This window comes from Homo sapiens, chromosome 12, assembly GCF_000001405.40.
Source record: "Homo sapiens chromosome 12, GRCh38.p14 Primary Assembly".
Classification (NCBI taxonomy): Eukaryota; Metazoa; Chordata; class Mammalia; order Primates; family Hominidae; genus Homo; species Homo sapiens.
The window spans coordinates 103,704,877-103,726,174 of NC_000012.12; the positions used below are offsets into that span (position 1 = coordinate 103,704,877).

General features: G+C 43.9%; 1 protein-coding gene and 1 non-coding gene across 10 annotated transcripts in view; one reads left to right on the forward strand and one right to left on the reverse strand.

Moving 5' to 3' along the window:
• STAB2 (stabilin 2) overlaps window positions 1-21,298 on the forward strand; it is a 179,447-nt gene that overhangs the window by 117,604 nt on the left and 40,545 nt on the right. For 7 of the 9 annotated variants that reach the window (XR_007063104.1, NM_017564.10, XM_011538537.3 and 4 more), the window contains 10 exons: window positions 756-851; window positions 1,916-2,111; window positions 3,565-3,660; window positions 6,595-6,640; window positions 7,491-7,567; window positions 8,767-8,892; window positions 10,939-11,012; window positions 12,894-12,965; window positions 20,099-20,218; window positions 21,240-21,287. Coding sequence is in view for 8 of the 9 variants with exons in the window: in NM_017564.10 (NP_060034.9) it covers window positions 756-851; window positions 1,916-2,111; window positions 3,565-3,660; window positions 6,595-6,640; window positions 7,491-7,567; window positions 8,767-8,892; window positions 10,939-11,012; window positions 12,894-12,965; window positions 20,099-20,218; window positions 21,240-21,287 (951 nt within the window). In the remaining variant the exon portion in view is untranslated. Of the gene's footprint in view, window positions 1-4; window positions 152-755; window positions 852-1,915; window positions 2,112-3,564; window positions 3,661-6,594; window positions 6,641-7,490; window positions 7,568-8,766; window positions 8,893-10,938; window positions 11,013-12,893; window positions 12,966-20,098; window positions 20,219-21,239; window positions 21,288-21,298 lie in introns of those variants that run through there. The other 2 variants (XM_011538542.3, XM_047429103.1) reach the window with 2 other exon arrangements.
• LOC124903106 (small nucleolar RNA U13) lies at window positions 16,066-16,168 on the reverse strand. The gene has a single exon (XR_007063643.1). It is a non-coding gene; the product is annotated as a small nucleolar RNA U13 (small nucleolar RNA).

The window sequence follows — 21,298 nt, forward strand, 5'->3', positions numbered from 1 at the left end:
CTAGTAGCCAGTTGAGGACCGCAGCAAGAAATCTTGTCAGAGAAGAGAGATTCCATATCCAAAACCATATCCAGCCTGGATATATTCCACCTGCCTGATTTCCTTTTATAGTTGAAGTTGCAACTAACTTTCTCAAAGAAACAGATGGCAGGTACGGGGGAGGTAGACAATCCATGTTTCTTGTTGCTATTTATTGTAAAAGATACTTCTGATTACATTACAAAGAATACTCATGTACCTTCAACAGCATAATAGTTTTTACTAAATATATGATAATTTTTAATTTATGATAAATTTTAATCTATAACAACCATACAGATGTTCTCATTTGAGGTTTAATTTAATCTTGTATATTATAATCTTTGTATGCAGCCTTAATCCTTTCCTGGACCAAAGCAGACTATAAATCAATAGAAACCAAAGTTCAGTTGAGTCAATGTACGGTGCTGGAAGGACATTTTTACCTGGTTTACTCTACAATTCTTGCAAACTTAAGTTGATATTCTAAAGAAATGTTCTTTTCATGGAGTACTACTTTAAAGTATAATTATTGGATTTTGCCACCTGGCATTCCGGCAACCAACATTGTGTTTTCATGTTTTCTTGCTTAAGAAGCAGTGCCAACAAGCCACCACCTTCTCTTCCCACAACACTTTAGTCAGAGAGACAGCAATGCATCACCCACCTACTTGCTTTCGGAGACTGGAAAACTTTTTCCTAACTTAGGAGCTGACGTAGTCATTAATATTTCACAGGGTAATGAGAAGAGGAGATGCATCTATACCTCCTATTTCATGGGAAGACGAACCCTGTTTATTGGGTGCCAGCCAAAATGTGTGAGAACCGTCATTGTGAGTACAATAATTGAATCATACTAACTACTGCAGCACCATTGGGAAAATCCATCATATGGTATCCTTTTCAAAATCCCTGTGCAGGTATGCTTTCTGCCATCTCCTCTTCCTTGTTACCTGCATTATCATTGTCATCCAATGTAGTAGTGGTAGCAGTAAAGCTCAGAACAGCTCTGTAATCCAGAAAATGGGTAAAAGCTGCAATTCAATTCAGTTTCATGATGAAAAAAACTGAGAGTCCGAGAGGCTAATGGGACCACCCTGTTCTCACAACAGGGTAGCTCTGTGAGCATGCTTGTAAGCAAAAGAGAGAAAGTGTCCACTCACATTGTGAAGATAAGGTGCACTTGGTCATTTAGAAAACAGGACCCCAAGGCTAACTACCTCTAGTGGTGCCTTTGGAATTTGCAGGAAAAGTCATGAGAACTTCCTGTGCTGCTCCTTTCCCAGATGACTAGACATAACCTCTGCCTAGCTGGGCAGAGGTGGGGTGATCTGGCCCTTAGGCTGCAGAGCATAGGGGTGGGGGAGATTTTGTGTTTTAATGCACTCAAGAATAAAGGCAAGGCAAACCCAAGCAGACACCCTACGGGGCTTCCCTGAACTGCAAAAGATTGGTTTGTAAAATGCCAAAAGCCTCACCTGCAGAGGCCTCCTCACCTTCAGTAGTAGACGAAATAACATCGATGTGAAGGGGCCCAGATCTGGGTTGGAGACGGCCCCTTGGTCCTCCCACTCTCCAGCATCACAGGCATTATTCTTTAGTTTCTTCTGCTGCCCCTCCTCCTTTCTCATTTTTCTTCATCCTCTTCTCTGACATGCCTTTTTCCTTTCCCTCTTTCCTACCTCCTTAGTGGAGCCCTTGGTCCTGTTCCTAGCACCCCTAGAAATTGCCAAGCCTCACCCAGTCCCCAGAGGGTCCTGCCCCCACCCCTCACCCACTCCATGTGAGGTCGAAGAAACAGGTGCACAAGAAGTCACCCACAGCAGGATTTCTACACCGAGGCTGGACAACACCAGAGGATAGAAGTGCGTTGTCAAGCTTTGTCCTTCTGTTTCAGACGAGAGAATGCTGTGCCGGCTTCTTTGGCCCCCAATGCCAGCCCTGCCCAGGGAATGCCCAGAATGTCTGCTTTGGTAATGGCATCTGTTTGGATGGAGTGAATGGCACAGGTGTGTGTGAGTGTGGGGAGGGCTTCAGCGGCACAGCCTGCGAGACCTGCACCGAGGGCAAGTACGGCATCCACTGTGACCAAGGTGAGCACCGTCCTCTCCACAGAGGATCTTGGGCTGCTGAAACCAACCAGGAATATGCAGGGAAAGAGTGATCCCACACGTGCTCTCTAGCTGGCCTGTCGCCCCAAGTGGGCTGGAATCCCACCTGCTACTATCACTGTGAATTATAAGAGCATCTGTGTTGTCATTTGCATTTGCAGTGTTCCCAAACATTTTCAGTCTCTAACTTGAACCTACCAACTCACTTCCAATTTGCTCATTGACATTCCCAGCCCAAATGCGTTTTTATATTTGCCTATGCACACTAATCATCACGGCTAAACTTTCCATTGTGGACATTGCTTGATAGTTTGAAAAACAGATTTGCACATGTTATTCATTTAATCCACACAGGAACCTTAGGTACATGAGTATTGCTATGCCCATTTTACAGATGAGGGTAGTAAGGCAAAGAGGTTGAATGACTTCCCCCAAGGCTACACCTGATGAGAGGCAGAACTGAGAACTGAATGTACACCTTTCTTGACTCCAAAGCTTGCTTTTAGATCATGCTGTTCTTTACCTGAGGGTTGCTCTATTGTTTCACCAGCAGCAAGACACATGCTTTAAGTAGTTTTTGCAAAAACAATGATCTGTTTGAGCCAAGTCATCTGTATTCTCACATCCAGATTTCCTTGTGTCCAGGAACACACAGCTGTGAGAGTGTTGACTCCAGAGTTTGGGTTTCCTAACAAAGCATTATTCTACCTAGTACTAAAAACCATACAGTTCACTTGGCTATCACTGTTTTCTCCTCAGCTGGTCTAAGCCAGACAAAATTAATGTACAATTGAATCATTATAATTGGGCCATATAATATTTACTTGGAATTACAGTGTTGATTTTTTCCCATGTTATTTGGAGTAATTATCTGCTTGCATTTGTGCATGAGTTCCTAAAATGGGATTTGTAGATGACCCTGATGGGATTCAGCAAACCGCTAAAGCTGAATACATTTTTCTGGGGAAGGCATCTGTAGCTTTCATCAAGTTCTCAGAGACTCATCTGTGTAATTGAGGAAGCAGTGCCACACCAGGCTTATACAAACCCAGTGTCAAATGGGCTTCTTCCTGAAGTCCATTCTTAAGGGGCAAACGTGGTTCCAATCAAAGGAGCCCTGCATAACCCTGGATCCTCAGGTAACCTTGACTGAGGACACTCTCACACTGCTTGGGTCACAGATCTTCAGTGCTACACTGTCTCAAAACTGCAGTCTGAGCCACTTCATTGAAGCTAGAGCTAGTTCACCTGTGAACTTGCTAGATTCTGTCTCCTGCACCCCTGCCCTTTTTGTGATTCAAGACCCCTGTTAAAGACTATGATTCCTAGAAGTAGGTTGGAGAATTAAGTGCAATAAAGCAAACCTAGTAAATGACAAATGAGTTATTGAACATGGGTTAGAATCTGACGATTTGCAGGTGATTTTCCCACTTAGCATGTTCTTGTGTCCATGGGAGATGCAACCAAGGACCCTTGGGAGATGGCTCCTGTGACTGTGATGTTGGCTGGCGAGGAGTGCATTGTGACAATGGTAAGAGTGAGGCCTCCAGTATTTATAATCTGCTCTAAGCTTTGCTTCTCAGCAGCTACATTTTTCTTTCTAAAATATAAATGACACCTTTTTTTACTTCTTCTGGCAATAAACATGATTCTTTCTTGCAGCAAAAAGTTTGTAAAATAAAGAAAAGCAGAAAGAAGAAAATAAAATCACTCATAACCTCAAGGCAGGAAAGAACTATTACTGATATTTTATATTAGGCTACCAACCTTTTTCTAGGTATATAAGCAAATGTGTAGGGAATCACACTTTACATATTGTCTAGTAACCTACTTTTCCACTTCACAATATATATATAGATATCTTTCCCTGTGATTAAAATAGAAAAATATTAATTTGTAATCTCCACAAAATGTTACAGTATGACCATGCTACACTTTTTTGAACCAATTTTCTGCTCTCTCAAACACTGCTACAATAACCATATTCATTTAGTCAAATTCCTAGAGATGAGATTTCTGAGTCAGGGGATGGCACTCTGGGGGAAAGGTCTTGCTACTTATTGCCAGGTTGTCCTCCGGAGGAAATAGCAATTTATTCTCCTGCCAATAGTGTCTGAGAGGCCCATTTCCTTCAATCCGACCACATCACATTGATTTTTCTTAATGTGCTTCAGGTGAGGGCGGTCAAAGAGAAGGGAATTTCAGGCAGAAAGAAGCACCTGGAATACCACAACGACATGGGAAAGCTCAACACATTTAGGGAATCAAAGGATTGCAGAATGAGAGGACTTTAAGGGCAAAGAGGAGGGTTGATGAGAAAAGGCAGGAGCAGTGGGCAGGCGCCGGGCCGTGAAACGCTAAGGAGGTTGGACTTCTCACTAAAGGCAACAGGAAGCCATTAAAGAGTTTTCAACAAGGGAGCAATATGATCGTATTTGGCACTTAAGAAAAATCATTCAGACTTTGGATTGAAGAGAATACCCCTGGAAGCAGGTATCAGAGACTCCCCCTCTTCCGGGTTGGGAGCTGGGGAGGAGATCACAAGTGATTGCTAGCCTAGTGGGGGCTCCATGGATGTGGCATTGACAGAGGGGGCGTCTTTGCCCAAAGCTCCAGGCAATGCAAAAATCAAGGGAATGCAGTTGCCTTTTAATGGTCAGCAACAAGGGGTCAGGGAGGAAGGTTAGTTGAAAAGCTGAATTGGGAAGTCTGAATGGTCCCAAGCCAAAGAAATATCCCAGAGCAGATGTCAAATGTCAGGGTACAGAGCCAGGCTTCTGAGAGCCTGGGAGAGGGAAGCAGGAAGCAATGGGGTCACATAAACAGTAGGACATTTTCGGTGAATCCCCAGAATAAATACAATAGGCTCTCTCCTCTTCTTGCTTTCTCTACTCTGAAGAAAGACCCCACCACCCATGCACCTGGTCACCCAATCTAGGAACCTCCCTACTCAGCTTCCATACCTCCTTGTCCCTCACTAACATACCTAACATATTCCATGTCTCCACATCTCTCAATCCATCTCTTCCTCCTGCTCCCCTCTCACCAGTAGCCTTGTGGTCTCTTTGTTTCCTGTCCTATCTTCCTCCACTCCGTACTCCCCACTACTGCCAGATAGAACTTACCAAAACATAGATCGTGTTTTTCACCCCAGCTCCTCCCCAGAACTTGACAAATTGCTGTGGTTCTTCATTGCCTACAGAAGAAAGTCCTAACTCCTTAGCAGGGTGGAGCACAAAGACTCTTCACCAATGAACACTCACCCAGTTTTCCAGACTTATCTCCCATCCCTGTCTCCAGTGCACATTCTACACAGGAAGTTTCCAGTCTAGAAAAGGAAATAAATGTTTAGTAAAAGGAAAAATTGTGGTATGGAGTACAAAGCAAAGAGCCTGTAGACTATAACAAAGAAGACAACTCCTTTGTGTGCAAACTCCTCGCTCCTAAGTCCACAGCAGACATCACTAATCAATCATGACACTCCCTCCCTCTGTGACCAGCCAGGGGCACCCAACCCTTCTCAAAGTAGCACACCATTAAGCTGCTACCAATTAATTGAAGTTGGCTCAAAGGTTTAGAGCAGGTTCCAGAGAAAAGGACATAAAACATGATTGAAATGCCAATAGGTAGAGAATAGAGAGAAAGGGATTGTTTAGGCTCAAGGAATAAGATACAGGCACAAAATTGCCTCCATTCCAGCCCATTTGAGTCTAAATTCCCTCCGACACAAAACAGACCACTTTTGCAGGCCTCTGTTTCAGGACCTCCTGTATGACTCAGCCAGGATTGGTAAGATTTCTATCCCAAAAGCTCTTAACATGAGCATCCTATCCAAGAGTATTCTTCCCTCATCTCTAATGATTTACTTCTGGATCTTGTCCTGTCAAGAAATAGGTAGGCATCCAAGAGCAATAACCTATGCTGTGTCCAGGAAATTTACATATTAATTCAACAAATATTGTGTACCTGCTGTGTGCAAAGCCCTGATTTTCTGCACATGCAAAAAAATCTTTTATAATTATAGTTTTGCTTGTTTACAGCACTCCATAATAAAATGATGAAAACCGGGAATAAAGTTAGGAATAAACTAGAAAGAATAGCATAGGAAATACAAATAAAAGTAGAAAATCAAAACCCAGAAGAGGGGTACACATCAACACCCAGACCATAAGAGCACATGGTCACATTCCAGGGAGAATTCTGTGTTTTATTCACTCTTGCATCCTCACTGCCTAGCACAGGGCCTGGCAAACAGAAGACACCATCAATGTATTTGACCTTCAGATTTGGCTTTGAGCTTCATGGCAGCCAGTATAAAAAAGGATTGACATGACCTCATAGTTTTATATCGCTCACATGATACATATCACTTCCAAAGAAGTAGCTTTTCTGAGCACAAAATACTAAAAATCCTCAGGTGAGATTTAGTAAGAGGGCTAAGACAGCAACTGGTTCTCTTTTTCAGCAACCACAGAAGACAACTGCAATGGGACATGCCATACCAGCGCCAAGTAGGTAGCCCTGGGCCACCTCTGGGGACAGTGTAAAGGGGATTTTTTCCCAATATTGTCTACCCTAGTCTCTATCCTCAGGGGATTTGTTTCCTGACACCATTTCTGAGGGCTTAGGATAAACTTGAGTATGAAACTAAAAATATCTCTGAAGAGGCCACTATCAAATAGCCAGATCCAGGCTTTCTAACAAGCTGCCATCTGACTTACCTGGCACATTGACGAAAATGCCCACTGTTACCCCAGTCCAAGCTACCAGGACTCATGGAGACTGAGGAAACCCAGTGGGCCTCAGTTTCCATAAACCTTGTTCCTGACTCACAGCAAGTCATAACTTGGCTTCATAATGCTAACTCCCAGAGAGGCTTAATGAATTAAGTACCTAGTAGTGGAGTTAGACATGAATTCAAAGTCAGCCTCTGTTATTTGCACTACCACATGATCTTGAGTCCAACGTTGAATCCCTCCAAAGCCTCAGATTCTTCATTTGTAAATGGGAATAATCCGACTTGCCAGGGCTATTGGATAGTGAGTAGATGACACAAAATAATACATGAAACATGGCTCCTAGCACATCAGTGGCTCTCTAAAGCTTGGCAGCTACCCATCTTATTCCTGAACTGACACCTATATCTATGCACGCTGTAGTTTGCCTGATAAATGAGTACAGTTTTAGCTGCTTGTGGTGGGGTTATGCCAGAATTAGACTCTTCTCCCAAGCCTTAGGCAGGACTTATGAGTGTCTCATGGGGGCAGGGGCCAGGATACTGAGGGTGAAGGGCATTTGTGAGTCATGTGGTGGGAGGTGGAGTATTTTTCTACAAACCCCATTTGTCCTTCCTTGTTGCAGCTGCCTCACCAACTCAGATGGTACAGCTTCATGCAAGTGTGCAGCAGGATTCCAAGGAAACGGGACCATCTGCACAGGCAAGCGAAGGAAGGAATTTGCTGGGGGGGCTGGCAAGGCTTGCACAGGCTATTGAGAGGTTCTTGTTCCTGCAGTCTGAATGGGCCTCAGCAGCTGGTGCCAACCACTGATGGTGAATTGTATGTAATGGGGCAGTTGATTGTGCCTGGGGACAGGAAACCAACTGTTCACAGCCTTGACCACAATTGGGATCACCTGGGAAGCTTTAAAAAACAGTGATTTGTGTTGAGAACCCACATAATGATCGATGTTTCAGATGATGGATATGCTAATTACCCTCATCTATACATTATGACAGCATTACTATATACCCTAGAAATATGTCCAATTATGTGTCCATTAAAAAAGAATTTAACTCACTGATTTGATTGGCCTAGGGTATGGCTGGAGCATCGAGGGTCTGGAGCAGACTAAAAAAGAATTTGAGCCCTGGTTCTTCCTCCAACTACCCAGGTGGCCTTGGATAGCTCATTTGTAAAGTAAACTTAAAACTACCTCCCTTGCAGAGTGGTTTTGAGGTTAAGTGAGCTCTCTGTGTTCAATGGCAGAATAATGCAGCTGTTGAAAACTCAGGTCAACTTAGACTCCCCAGGTTTGAACCTAAATACTTATTACTTACATTACCTTGGGAAAGTTTCTTGACTGCTCTTTGCATTATTATTTTTATCTGCAACTTGGGGATAATAAGAAGACCTCCCTCACTGAGTTGGACAATAACCTGAATTAATACCTGTGAAGTGCTTAGAACAGACCCAGCACATAGAATTCAATAAATGCAAGCTAATATTCTTATGGTGTCTGGTGCTAGAAAAAATGGAAAATCTTAAGGTCATTTTTCTCTTGAGCACTGTGTCCTGGCAGGCTTTGGTCCAGATTGTGGCAGCACTGGACAATGATCATGCCAATCTGCTTTCTAGACCATCTTACCCTGGGGATTCTCCCAGAGGGCCAAGTAGACTCACCTTCATCCCCAGGTGTGTCCTGCAGTAGGATGTGTACAGAATGCTAATAAAAGCAGCTAGAAAGGGCAAATCACAGATGTTTTACTTGCTCTCTGTTTTTGGGAATTGGCCATATTTAATCCAGTGCCTGCTCAAGTAGTTTTGCAGTATGTTCCATTTCTCAATGACTTGAGGAAAAATACATCAATGGCTTTTGCCCTTCCCTCTCCCCTTCTGCTCTGTGTCATCTTCTATAGCAATCAATGCCTGTGAGATCAGCAATGGAGGTTGCTCTGCCAAGGCTGACTGTAAGAGAACCACCCCAGGAAGGCGAGTGTGCACGTGCAAAGCAGGCTACACGGGTGATGGCATTGTGTGCCTGGGTAGGTGTCCTTCCCTCTTCCATCGGCGAAATGGTATAAGAGTCATAGCCCTATTAAATGATTCCAACGTGTGTGCCCTGATTATCAGGACACAAAACTGAGGTCAGTATTCCATTTGCCAGGGCAGGAAAGTATAAGGGCATGGAAAAGTGACCACAGGGTATGAAGGCATGTCATGTCCAAAAATTACTTCGGAAGGGTAAAAGGAGATACATTTTCCAATTAAACATCATGGCGATGACAGAACATTTAAACTTTTATTAGTTCCTTTTTATACAAGTAGCACATGCTCACTGTAGAAAAAGAAAGCACATGTACTGGAGAAAATACTCTGAAGATAGTGCTCTTATTATTGTCATTACCCCATTTTGCTATGCCTACATGTATTTTTTTTTAACAAAAATGGTATCTCAGGATATACAGCATTTACTATGCTTAGCAATATATCAAAGTAACTCTCCCTGAAAACAAGTATACCTCTAACATTATTTAAATATCCACACACTGTTCTACTATAAAGGTATGCCATAGTAAGTTGTCTGAATTTAACTGTTTAGTTAGAAAAAAATTGACATAGAAGAGTTATACAAATAGCACAAAAAAGACCCACTTGTTCTTTACCCACATTCACCTATTAACATTTAGCCCTGGCTGGGCGCAGTGGCTCACACCTCTAATCCCAGCACTTTGGGAGACCAAGGCAGGCAGATCATAAGGTCAGGAGTTCGAGACAAGCCTGGCCAACATGGTGAAACCACATCTCTACTAAAAATACAAAATTAGCCGGGTGTGGTGGCACACACAGCTACTTGGGAGGCTGAGGCAGGAGAATTGCTTGTACCCAGCAGGCAGAAGTTGCAGTGAGCTGAGATTGTGCCACTGCACTCCAGCCTGGGCGATGGAGTGAGACTCCATTTCCAAAAAAAAAAAAAAACCATTTAGCCCTGTTTATCATTTGCTCTCTTTGTATATATACATTTTTAAGCCATTTGAGAGTAATCTGTGTATATTGTATTCCCTTTGTTCCTAAATACTTGAGTGTATATTTCCTAAGAATAAGGATAGCCTCTTACGTAACCACAGCACAGTTATCAACTTCAGTAAATTTATTATTGATGTAATACTTTTGTCTAATTACCATTCATATTCTAATTTTGTCAGTTGTTCAATAATGTCCTTTTTGACAATTTTTCCTCCAGTGAGGGATCAAGTCTAGGGCTGGATATTGTGTTTCATTGTCATGTATCTTGAGTCCCCTTTAATCTGGGAGAGTTCCTCAGCTTTGCTTTGTGTCTTATGACATTAACACATGGGAATAATATCCTCCACCTCGCCAACTTTTTTTTAGTAGCATGTCCTTTATTTGGGGTTTGCCTGATGTTTTTCATTCTTAGATTCAGGTTATACATTCAAGGCCCAAATGTCACACAAGTGATATTGCATCTGTCTCAGGGAACCTTGAGCTCTCCTTCTGCCCTCTGTGTGTGATGTTAATTTTGACCACTCAGTGAAGGTGCTGTGATGTTTCCATTATACAGTTATTTTTTTTTTCTACTTTACTACTGATAAGCAGTCAGAGGAGACACACTTTAACACCAAGCAGATATGTTGTTCCCCCTCAAAATATGCTCCTTAGTTTAGCATCTTTTGATGATTCTTCCCTGAACCAATCTATATTGTGATGGTTGCAAATGATTGTTTTTAATTCCTAAGTCTCTTCATTCATAGCAGTCTTAGATTAGACTCCAAGATTCTATGGTTTCAAGTACTTTGCTACAAATGCTCAAATTTATTCCACGGACTGATTTAAGCCAGTAGACAATCCCTCTGCTGGAACTGGCCTATCCCAGAATAGTCAATCTTAAGAAACCATATACAGTACCCTCCTAGTTCAGTTATTTCTGTCTCAGAACTTCCAGAAAACTGAATCATGCTTTGACACCCGCTCCCTTCAGTCAGTTAGCCATCTTAGCTCATCCCTCAAGCTGGCTTCACTTGGAAACCAGACTGGATTTCCAGGCCAGATGTTGGCTTTTTGTTTTAAAGAAATCAACCCGTGTTTGGAGAACCATGGTGGCTGTGACAAGAATGCGGAGTGCACACAGACAGGACCCAACCAGGTGAGTGCCACCTCTCCCAGGCCCTTAGGTTTCCTAAAAGGGAACTCCTAGGTCTTTAGACACAGGCCTGAGAGAAAGAGGCTGAGAACGGACCTCTAAAGAGCTGCAGCTGAAAATAAATACTTTAGGGGAAATTCTGAAAGAATCAAGAGGCCCTTCTTTGGGAATGAGGTGAAATGGGGGAAAACCAAGGGTACTAGGACAAGGGGCTTCCCTAGAGTGCGGAGAAGTAGGTATCTGCAAATACCATGTGATTCCAGAAGCATCTAGACAGTCCCCTAAAATACTCCACTTTCTTTCAGCATTCTGATGCCCAGAATCCCACACTTTATCTTTGGCTTAAGGCTCTGAAGCACATGTGCCATGGTGGAAGATAATACTGTGGGCACTCTACCAGTCACATGGCCCTGAGTACCATGAGCTTGCAGCATCTGTCTGGAGAGCAGGCTGGGGGAGGTGGGGAAAACATGAGAGCAACCGCATCAGAGAATGGGGGTCACAGGGTGGAAAGATACAGGCAGGGAAGCTGGAGGCCTGGAGACCCAAGTTCGGCCTTCCTCAGTTTCTGCCACATGGTGAACAAGCAAAATGGCCAGACAGGAAATCACATATATCCAAAATTGGATGACAAAGTGAAGTCACCAGTGAATGCTCTATTGACCTAGTTGAGCCATCTGGAGACCTCAGTGCCAGGTCTCTCAATGGGCAGATCAAGCAAGTACCTAAAGTACGCAAAAATAAGGAAAAAAAATTGTCTTGAAAGAACTGTGTGAGCACACATGCACATGTGTGTGGACACATTTAGTCATGGGGGAATTCGGAACAGTCAATGCTGAGCTTTCTTAGACATCTTTTGAGGTTTGGTAGTTTTTATTTCAAACTACATATGAGGTAGGAGATAATCTATAAACTTTTTGGTGCTTGGGACCTCCAAGGGTGCCCATCCAGTCCTAGGGGGCAGTAAAGGAGGATGTGGAGTTGAACTTTGAGAACAAGACGTTAGCTGAGGAGGGACAGCTGGTGATGTCTTGGGAAAGGTTTGCACTGATATTGGGGCCCATTGTGAAGAAAGAGGAAGAGAAACGGGAAAACCTGCCCGTGTAGCCCTAGCTGGCACCAATGATGACTTAAAGTTCTAAGAAGCAGACGTCAACCCAGGGCCCTTGCTGCTACATAGGAGGCCCTTGTGTGAGTTAGAAAAGCTGCCTCCTGGGAGGGCACAGTGGGAGCAGGTGTCTCTTCCTTTGGGGACATCAGTGAATAGAGTGTGAGCTGGGCTTCAGCCCAGTGGCCGGGTGCTCCTGCGCAGACATGGGACATGGGACCTTGTCCCCAGCTTCTTCAGACAGTGTCCCCTCCCTCAACTTGAAGCTTCCACCCAACTTCCTGGGCCAACCAATGGGTTTGATAGATTGTTTCCATGTGCACACCTCAGTGGGCTATAAAGGTCTCTCCTTAGCATCTCCTAGCACTGGTGCCTTTCAGCTCAGCATGGGCGCAGATGAGCAAGATATGAGTATGAATGAGAGTGGGATATAGTTGGGCTTCTTCTCAACTGACCTTTACCAATCAAAGAAAAGAGGTGAATACCTGAAGGCAAGGGACCAAATGGAGTGAGAACATTAAAAAGAAAAAAAACGGTATCTTAGCAACAAAGATAGGATGTGCATGAGATCCCAGTGCTCAAGTGAAGTGTGTCAAGTGCTAAAATATTAAACATAGGGTGACAATTATCATTATAAAATAGATATTACCAACGTCAAATAGAGACTCTCCTAACATTACCATGACCATGATGGAGTTCAGGTCTGAGAGCCAGACCATGCGGCCAGTACAGAACCCACCTGCAAAATGACCCCATGTGCTTCTACTCCTGGACAGGCTGCCTGTAACTGTTTGCCAGCATACACTGGAGATGGAAAGGTCTGCACACTCATCAATGTCTGCTTAACTGTGAGTATGGCTCTAGGGTGGATATCCTTCAAGCCTCAGAGCCCAGGGTGCCTCCCACCCCACTTCTCGGGGATGCAGAGTTGAGGAACTCTTCCTCTGGAGGCCTCAGAGCTGTGTGTTGACCATGAGGCTTGTTTCTCTGGCACACTCCATTGTAATGTTGGGGAGAAAAGAGAGAAGGCACAGTCTGCTACCCCCAGCCTGCCCCTTTGGCTGCACCATATTGAGCTAAGTCTATCCACTTGCTTATCCCCTATCCATATTGCCAACTCTTATGAAAAAGATCCCTTTCCACCAAGCATGTCTCTCACCTCCTCTAGGAAGCCATCTTAGGTAAACCTCACAGCAACTTTCCACTCCTTATTCTCCTAGACTTACACGTAGGAATCCACAGCGAGCGCACTATGAGTCAACAATATAGTGTAGCATTCCAAAAGCTTGTTCTGTCATCACAGAGGCCTAGAGGACAGGCTAAGGAAGATGATTCTACTCTCACCCCACAACTACCCTCCATGGCCCCTACCACCCCCATTCTACATGATAACTCTACCTTAGAACAGAAGATCCAGTTCTAGATGCTCTGCATTGAGCAGGGGTTCATATGGGGATAGAAGCACTGTGTCTCCTATGTCCATGCACACATCATTAGTTCTCCCAGTTCTCTCTCTCTAAAGAGGAATTGGGATGTAGGGTGGAGGCTGCCACCAACATTTCAAGGATTGCCACAAAACAGAAGGGTTGTTCTTGTTCTGTGTAAGTCCAAGCAGTAGGACTAGGACCAGCGGATGGACATTAGAAGAAAACAGATTTCTTTCAACTTAACTCACTTATTTCATTAGAACTGTCCAGACATAGAGAGTTTTGAGAAGTAATGAGCTTATTATAACTCAAGGTATTTAACTATAGGAATGAAGCAACAGATGGGTTATCAACCCAGACAGCCATTTAGATTCCTCCCAGCCCTGATCCACATGACTCTAGGGTTTTCGGTTGGTTTGCTTCTTGGGACCTCAGTTTCCTTGGATGGTTATAAGTGTCCCTGGAATTCCTTTTACCACTAACATCTGGGCTTTGACTTTCTTCCTCCAGTCTGTAGGATATTGTTGACACACTTCTTGTCTCCGTTTGCATGTCGATCCTGGCAGGAGCAGGATCTTCTGATTTTCTTATAACCCTTGACTGCAGGCTGGACCCATGTTATGCAAACGAGGAGTTTACTCAGTCATTAATCACTGAGTCTCAAACTGGGCTAGTCGCCTACTGCTGCTCAGAGCCTAATTGTCCCAGGCCTGGTACCTGCAAAGGGATGAGATAAGCCTGCTGACCCAGCCTGTCACATCCGGAGCAGTTTGTGTGGTCAGCTAGGCCTCTGAAGTCCTGCATCAATGTCACATTCATATCCACTGCTTGCCAGGGGTCAGCCACTGTGCTTAGGGGTGCCCAATCATTCTTTCGTTTAATTTCTCTAACAGCCATATGAGGTAAGAACTGTTATTAACCCCATTTTACAGACAAAGAGACTCTAGCTGTGCCTCTTTCCTAGGACTGCTATAACAAACTGCCACAAACTGGGTGGGTGAAAACAATAGAAATGTATTTTCTCACAGTTCTAGAGGACCAAATCCAAAATTAAGGTGCCTGCAAGGATGTGCTCCCTCTGAAGGCTCTGTGGGAAAATCCTTCCTTTCCTCTTCCAGCTTCTGGTGACTCCAGGCATTCCTGGCCTGCGGCCGCATCACTCCAATCTTGCCTCCATCTTCACATGGCCTTCACTTCTGTATCTGTGTCTTCTCCTCTTGCAAGGACATTTGTGGCATTAAGTGGTTAATCTAGGATGATGTTATCTGGAGATCCTTAATTACATCTGTAAAGACTCTTTTTCTAAATAAGTTGCATCCACAGTTGCATCCAGTCCTTAGGACAGTTCAACCCACTAGGCTGTGAGGAGTGAAGGCCCTTGCCCAAGGCCACAGAGCTAGTATGTGGCATGGCCAGCACTTGAGCCTATCTCTGTCCTACTCAAGACCTGCACCCTTGACCACTTCTTGGGGTGCTTATTCTTCCTACAAGGCCCAATCCCAACACCTTGCTTTCCTGTTTATATTACTTCCCACCTGAGAGCCTCCAGCTGTTGACATGAGAACAGTGCAGACGCCCTGTAATTAAAGCCCTTCTTCTTCAATTGAGGCTCCCATTATCTCCTTGTGTTTGTCTGGCAAGCTCCTCAAGAGATCAATGTCCTCTACATGAAACAGTTATGTAAGGATAATAAAGAAGAAGCTACGGAAAAGATGGGGGCTGAGATGTGAAGCTATTACCACTAGAACTATGGCCAGCTTAATTTTCACAGCAATTCTTCCATGGGCCATTCATGTTTTGTAAAAAAAAATGGCCACCTTGTCTTGGACAAATGACTCCTGATACAGCTGACCTGGGAGATTCTGAAGGTCTTTTGCTACTCTATCTCAGCAGCATATTCCCATGGGAATTAACTCTATTGCAAGATTGTAAAATTATAGGCCATCAGGGGCCAGGCAGGGAATAATATCAACAGGAAGACCCAAATCATATTGCTGCTCTAATGGGGAAATATCTACTCCAACTGACTGGTGCTCTAAGCTATGTCAGCCCAGTGTTGACGGTACTCCTGACATTTTAAAAGATATGAAAATTTATGAATTTGTATGTAAATTTTACTAATTTGTAAATGATGGTAATTCATTCCAAAAAGCTCTTTTAAATACTGGGCTAAAGAAACAAAATAGTCCTGGTGCTAAATCTGGCCCAAGAACAATTATTTCTGCTCAAGTCCTACCAACAAGGACTGTGAAACATTGCCTTTCCTGAGTTAGTCCCCAGTCCAAACTGTTTTAGTTCATTTGTGCTGCTTTAACAGCACAGAGGATACCTGAGACTGGGTAGCTTATAAGCAACAGAAATTTATTTCTCACATTCTGGAGGCTGGGCAGTCCAAGATCAAGGCACTGGCTAGTTCTGTGTCTGCTGCAGGTCTGCTTCCTGGTTCACAGACGGTGCCTTCTTGCTCATTGGTAGAAGGGACAACTGAGTTCCCTTGGGTCTCTGTTTTCTTCTCTTTTCACATCAGAAGGGTAATGTGTCAATGTTGTAACAAGTTTTGAGGGAGGCACATCTCATAGAATAGTGTGAAAACCCAATATCAAGCTAATGAACCACAAAAGGATCTCTCTTTTATAAGGGCACTAATCCCATTTATAAAGGCTTTGCCCTCATGAACCTAATGACCTTCTAAAGGCCCCACCTCCTAATACCATAGTGAGGGTTAGGTGGGGGACACAAACATTTAGACTAGAGCAGGAGGCAAACATGTTGATGGAACAGAGACTGGGTGAGAGGGGAAGGGTCGTAGTGATCAGACAAGGCCTCTCTGCCGAGGTGACTCATTCCTGAATGTTAAGAAGCGGGCAGCCACATGAAAATCTTGGGGAAAATGTATAAGCAAAAGGAAGAGCAAGCCAGGGGTCCTGGGAAGAGGAAGAGCTTGGCATGTTCTGGGAACTGAAGAGAGAGCCAGTGTGAATGCAGTAAAGGGAATAAAAGGGAGGTGGTGAGAGGGGCCAGATCACCTTACCCCATGTAGGCTATGCTGTGGAGCTTATATTTTTTTCCAGTTGTGACTAGGAAGCCACTGGATGATCATGTAGGTCAATGTCAATGTCTGGCTTGGCTCTCAAATCTCATTCTGGCTGCTGTGATGACTATGCAGGATAGGGGTTCTAAAGCAGAAGCAAGAAGACCATGTAAAAGACTAATGATGCTGACCAAGAAAGACCAGGGTGGTATGACTAGAGCTATAGCAGTGGGTGTAATAAGAAGTCGCTTGGGCCAGGTGGACATAGTGGCTCATGCCTATAATCCCAGCACTTTGGGGCACTGAGGCAGGAAGTTCACTTGAGCTCAGGAGTTTGAGACCAGCTTGGAGAGAGAGGGAGATAAATCACTGGACAGGGGATGTATTTTGGAGATAACCAATAAGACCTGCTGATAGACTGGATATGGGAAATACAAGGAAAAGGAATCAAGGACACTATCTAGATTTTTTGTTGAGACATGTTGGTTCTACTCATGAAGATAAGGATGGCTTAGGAGGAAATGTTGAGTGAAATATCAACAGGTCTGTCTTTTTGTTGAGTTTGAGTTGCTTGGTAGCCATTCAAGTGAAGATTTCCAGTGAAATGTAAGCCTGAAGGAGAGATCATGACAGAGGTACAAACATAGCGGTCATTGGCACACAGATGGTATTTAAACACAGGGGACTGACTGAAGCACAAGATGAAAGGTAGAGGCAAAGACGGGGCAGGTGGAGGGGCCCTGGATATTAAGCCATTGAGCAGAGGAAGAAGTACTTACGGAGAAGCCTCAGTAAAAAAGCCCACAATGTGGAAGGAAAACCACTTATCAAGTATAGTGTCAACAGAGACCAAGAGAAGAAAATGTTTCAAGAGGAGTGATTGTACAGGCAAAGGATGTTGAGATGTCACCTATGTTGAGAGAAGAGAACTGACCACTGCCTTCTCAAGGTCTCAATTCTTGAAGACAAGATCAAGGTGGAGGCTTGTGTAAAAGTGGCACCAAGAGCCTGGAAGTAAGTTGAGAAGAAAATTGGAAGTAAGGAAAGTAGAAACATAGACATTTGCAAGGATCTTCCTGGGCAAATAAATGGGTAGTTAATGGAGAAGGATGTGGACTAAAGTAAGTAATGTTCCTAACACTTTACCCTGGAAAATTTTAAACCTACATGAAACTAGAGCAACTAATACATGAACCCATCTGTACCTGACACTCAGGTGAAAGAGTCAACTCATGGTCAGTCTTTGTTCATCTATACCTAGTACGTTCTCTTAAAGGAAAAAAAAAGGAGTTTGGCTTTTTTCAAGATGAGTAATATGAAGGCATGTTTTTGTGCTGGGGAGTATGATCTGATAGAGGGGAGGAAACCACTCCTGAAGGAGAGCAGGTTGTTGTTACAGGAGGGGGTGAGAGGGAGTGGGACCCAGACCCCAGGTGGAGACATCACCCTCAGATAGAAGCAGACGTAGTGTCGGTCAGTATATTAGTCAGTGATGAACTAGTGAGTCCATTAATGAGTCAGTCCATTAGTTAGTTAGTTGTTAGTACACTTGTTAAATAAGGAAAGCACAGTCCGTGAGTTCAGACCCAAACAAGTGGTGAAGCTCAGGATGGGGAGATGAGGTGGTTCTTGTTACCTGTGTCTCTTTTCTCCATGAGGCACAAGTGGGGCTCATCAACTAAGATGAGAGGACAGTAATTGAGAGTTGAGAAAGGTGAGGAGTGGAATGTCATCTGTATTAGTCAATTTTCACGCTGCTGATAAAGACATACTCCAGACTGGGCAACTTACAAAAGAAAGGTTTATTGGGCTTACAGTTCCCCATGGCTGGGGAGGTCTCATAATCATGGTGGAAGGTGACAAGCATGTCTCACATGGTGGCAGATAAGAGAAGGGAGCTTGTGCAGGGAAACTCCCATTTTTAAAACCATCAGATCTCCTGAGATTCATTCACTATTACAAGAAGAGCACAGGAAAGACCTGCCCCACAATTCAATCACTTCCTACCAGGTTCCTCCATGACACATGAGAATTGTGGGAGTTATAATTCAAAATGAGATTTGGGTGGGAACACAGGCAAACCGTAACATCATCTCTAGAGAGAGGGAAATTAAATGTACTGCAAAAGTGCAAGCATCTGTGTACATACCTTTGAAGGGAGTCCAGATAGCATGTATCGTGACTTTCTCAGGCAATGCACCGCCAGCCCGGCAGACCCAGAGAAGTTAGAGTGGGGCCCAGGAGGGCTAGGGATTTGCCAAGCCATAGTGATGGAGGGAGAGAAGAGCCAGGGAGGGTCACAGTGTTCCACCTTGCCAGCTGGCTGGGGTTCGAGGGGACTGAGTGGGTGGGCAGGAATGCTGGGGAGAAAGAAGTAAGCTCAAAGGAGGGGAGGTTCCTGTGGACCAAAGGAGGTTGGAGACTGCAGTATTAGAAGAGATAAGTTGAAATGATAAAAGTTGGTGGCCAGAGAGAGAGGGATGCTTGAAATGGAGCTCTCAGGAGCAGTCAGTGCACTTTAATGTTGACTGCAAAGCCAGGGGATGGGGACAGGGGTGGTAGAGGCCGTTGACAAGGGTATTGACACTGCCACGGACGGCAACATCAAGAATGAAGGGAAAGGCGGTGATCCAGGCAACACCATTAGGACCAAAGAGTAAAAATTGGTAAAGGATTATGGATACTATGTGTTTAAAGGATGAGGGTGTTTGGAAGTGACAATGTACAGTAAGAAAGACACTCTCCCAGCACAGCCAGGACATTGCCACTTCAATCCCTCACCAGTGTGGAGGTAGTGGAGGAAAACAGCTTCACTTGAGGGGCATAGGAAGGGCAATGTTTGCAGGAGACAAAGACCTCTGCAGGAAGAGGTGAAGGGAGCTTACTAAGGTGAGAATGTCAGAAAGTTGCTAATGGCAATGACTTTGAGAAAGCACGGGGAAGGGTTTGTGAGGAAGGGGCCTATGGGGTCAGGTGATGCGTGTGTAGAGGAACATGGGGTGAGTGTCCCTGCAGTGAGCGTTCCCATGGATGTTAGCTTTGAACCGTGCTTTGCTTTGTTTGTATTTTAGGTCTCTGCCCATCTTCCACAACTTATAAGCTCTTTGAGGGCTGGGACAATGTGTTCTATTTTGTACCACCTGCCTTCTCTCTGATAATGGTTACCTTTTCCTATGATCAGAGTTTAGCTTAAAGCTGGGAAGTATCAAACAGGTGGGGTCTTCCTAGTTAATACCTGGATGCTGAGAAATTTCCAATTTGGCAACTCTGGGCTTACCTGTACAGGGCTGGAGATCTGCTCAAAGGGACCTGTCATCTTAGGATACAAGGCCAGGTGAATAAGATGCCCCTATGAGCATAGGGAATTGGAAGGCAAGCTCAGGAAAAGGATAAACAATACAAATGAATCAAAGAGAGTGAGACAAAAAATGAATTCAAACGCAGAATTGCTTTGTAAATATCGGTAGAGCTGGCAAACTAACTGGTCTAATCCCCATCCCTTGCCCCTTGGCAATTTTACCAGAAAAATGGCGGCTGTAGTGAATTTGCCATCTGCAACCACACTGGGCAAGTAGAAAGGACTTGTACTTGCAAGCCAAACTACATTGGAGATGGATTTACCTGCCGCGGCAGCATTTATCAGGTAACGCGAGACATGTTTCCATCAAGTAAACTCTACTTCCCTAAAAATGCCAAGAATCCAGGTAGCTAAGGAGTATTTAAGAGCTTGGTGAAATGTAAAGCGCTATAAAAATATGAAAGGCAATTTTACATAAATCAGCAATGAAAAGAAATTTTGTCTTCCTCTGGGAATTCATTTGACCTGAGGAAGAGTGTAATGTAGGGATTAAGGTGGACCGACAGCTCTGGAGTCAGAAACACTTGGGTTTGAATTCAGTTCTCCTGGTTGGTAATGTGACTTTGAGCATATTATGTCACCTCTCTGTATATCAATTTTCCAATCTGTAAAAGAAAATAATGGTGGTACAAACTGCATCAGGTTGTTAAAATAAGGTAATATGTGCAAAGGACACAGAGTGCTCAATAGCTCAACCACATTACCATGGCGTGGATTGCAGTGTGTGCATGTGTGCGTGTGCATGTGTGCGTGCACGTGTTAATGTGTGTACACGTGTGTGTGCATGTGTGTACGTGTGTGTGCTTGTGTGTGCATGCAGGTGCATATGTGCATGTGTGTATGCACGTGTGTGTGCATGTGTGTGTGTACTGAGCATAGTGGTTGAGGCAAGGTGATATTTGCAGCTTTCTATTATAAAGTAAATGTTCAGTTATTTAAAGAGGGACAAAAATGTTCCGGCTGATCAAATATTGTTACTAGAGTAACCAAATCTGCCATAAACCTATAACTGATTTTTTTTAAATATTTGAAAGTCAGAAAATGCTCTTAAAGTTCAGATACTTCTGGAAATGGCTGAACCTTTCTTTCATAAATCAGATGGCGATTCCAGAAAGGTTATAGAATTCACACTATGTCCACATAGTCATTCTGAACGTTAATTGTCAGCCTACAGATGAAGCTCCAAAAAGGCCCGGTGTTACAGATTTCCAGCTGAAGGGATGGCAGAGAAATCATCCCATGACAACCCTGTATTGTTCTAATATATATTTCACAGGCATTAAGTGAAACTACTCTTTGTTTGCAGGAGCTTCCCAAGAACCCGAAAACTTCCCAGTATTTCTTCCAGTTGCAGGTAGGAAATAT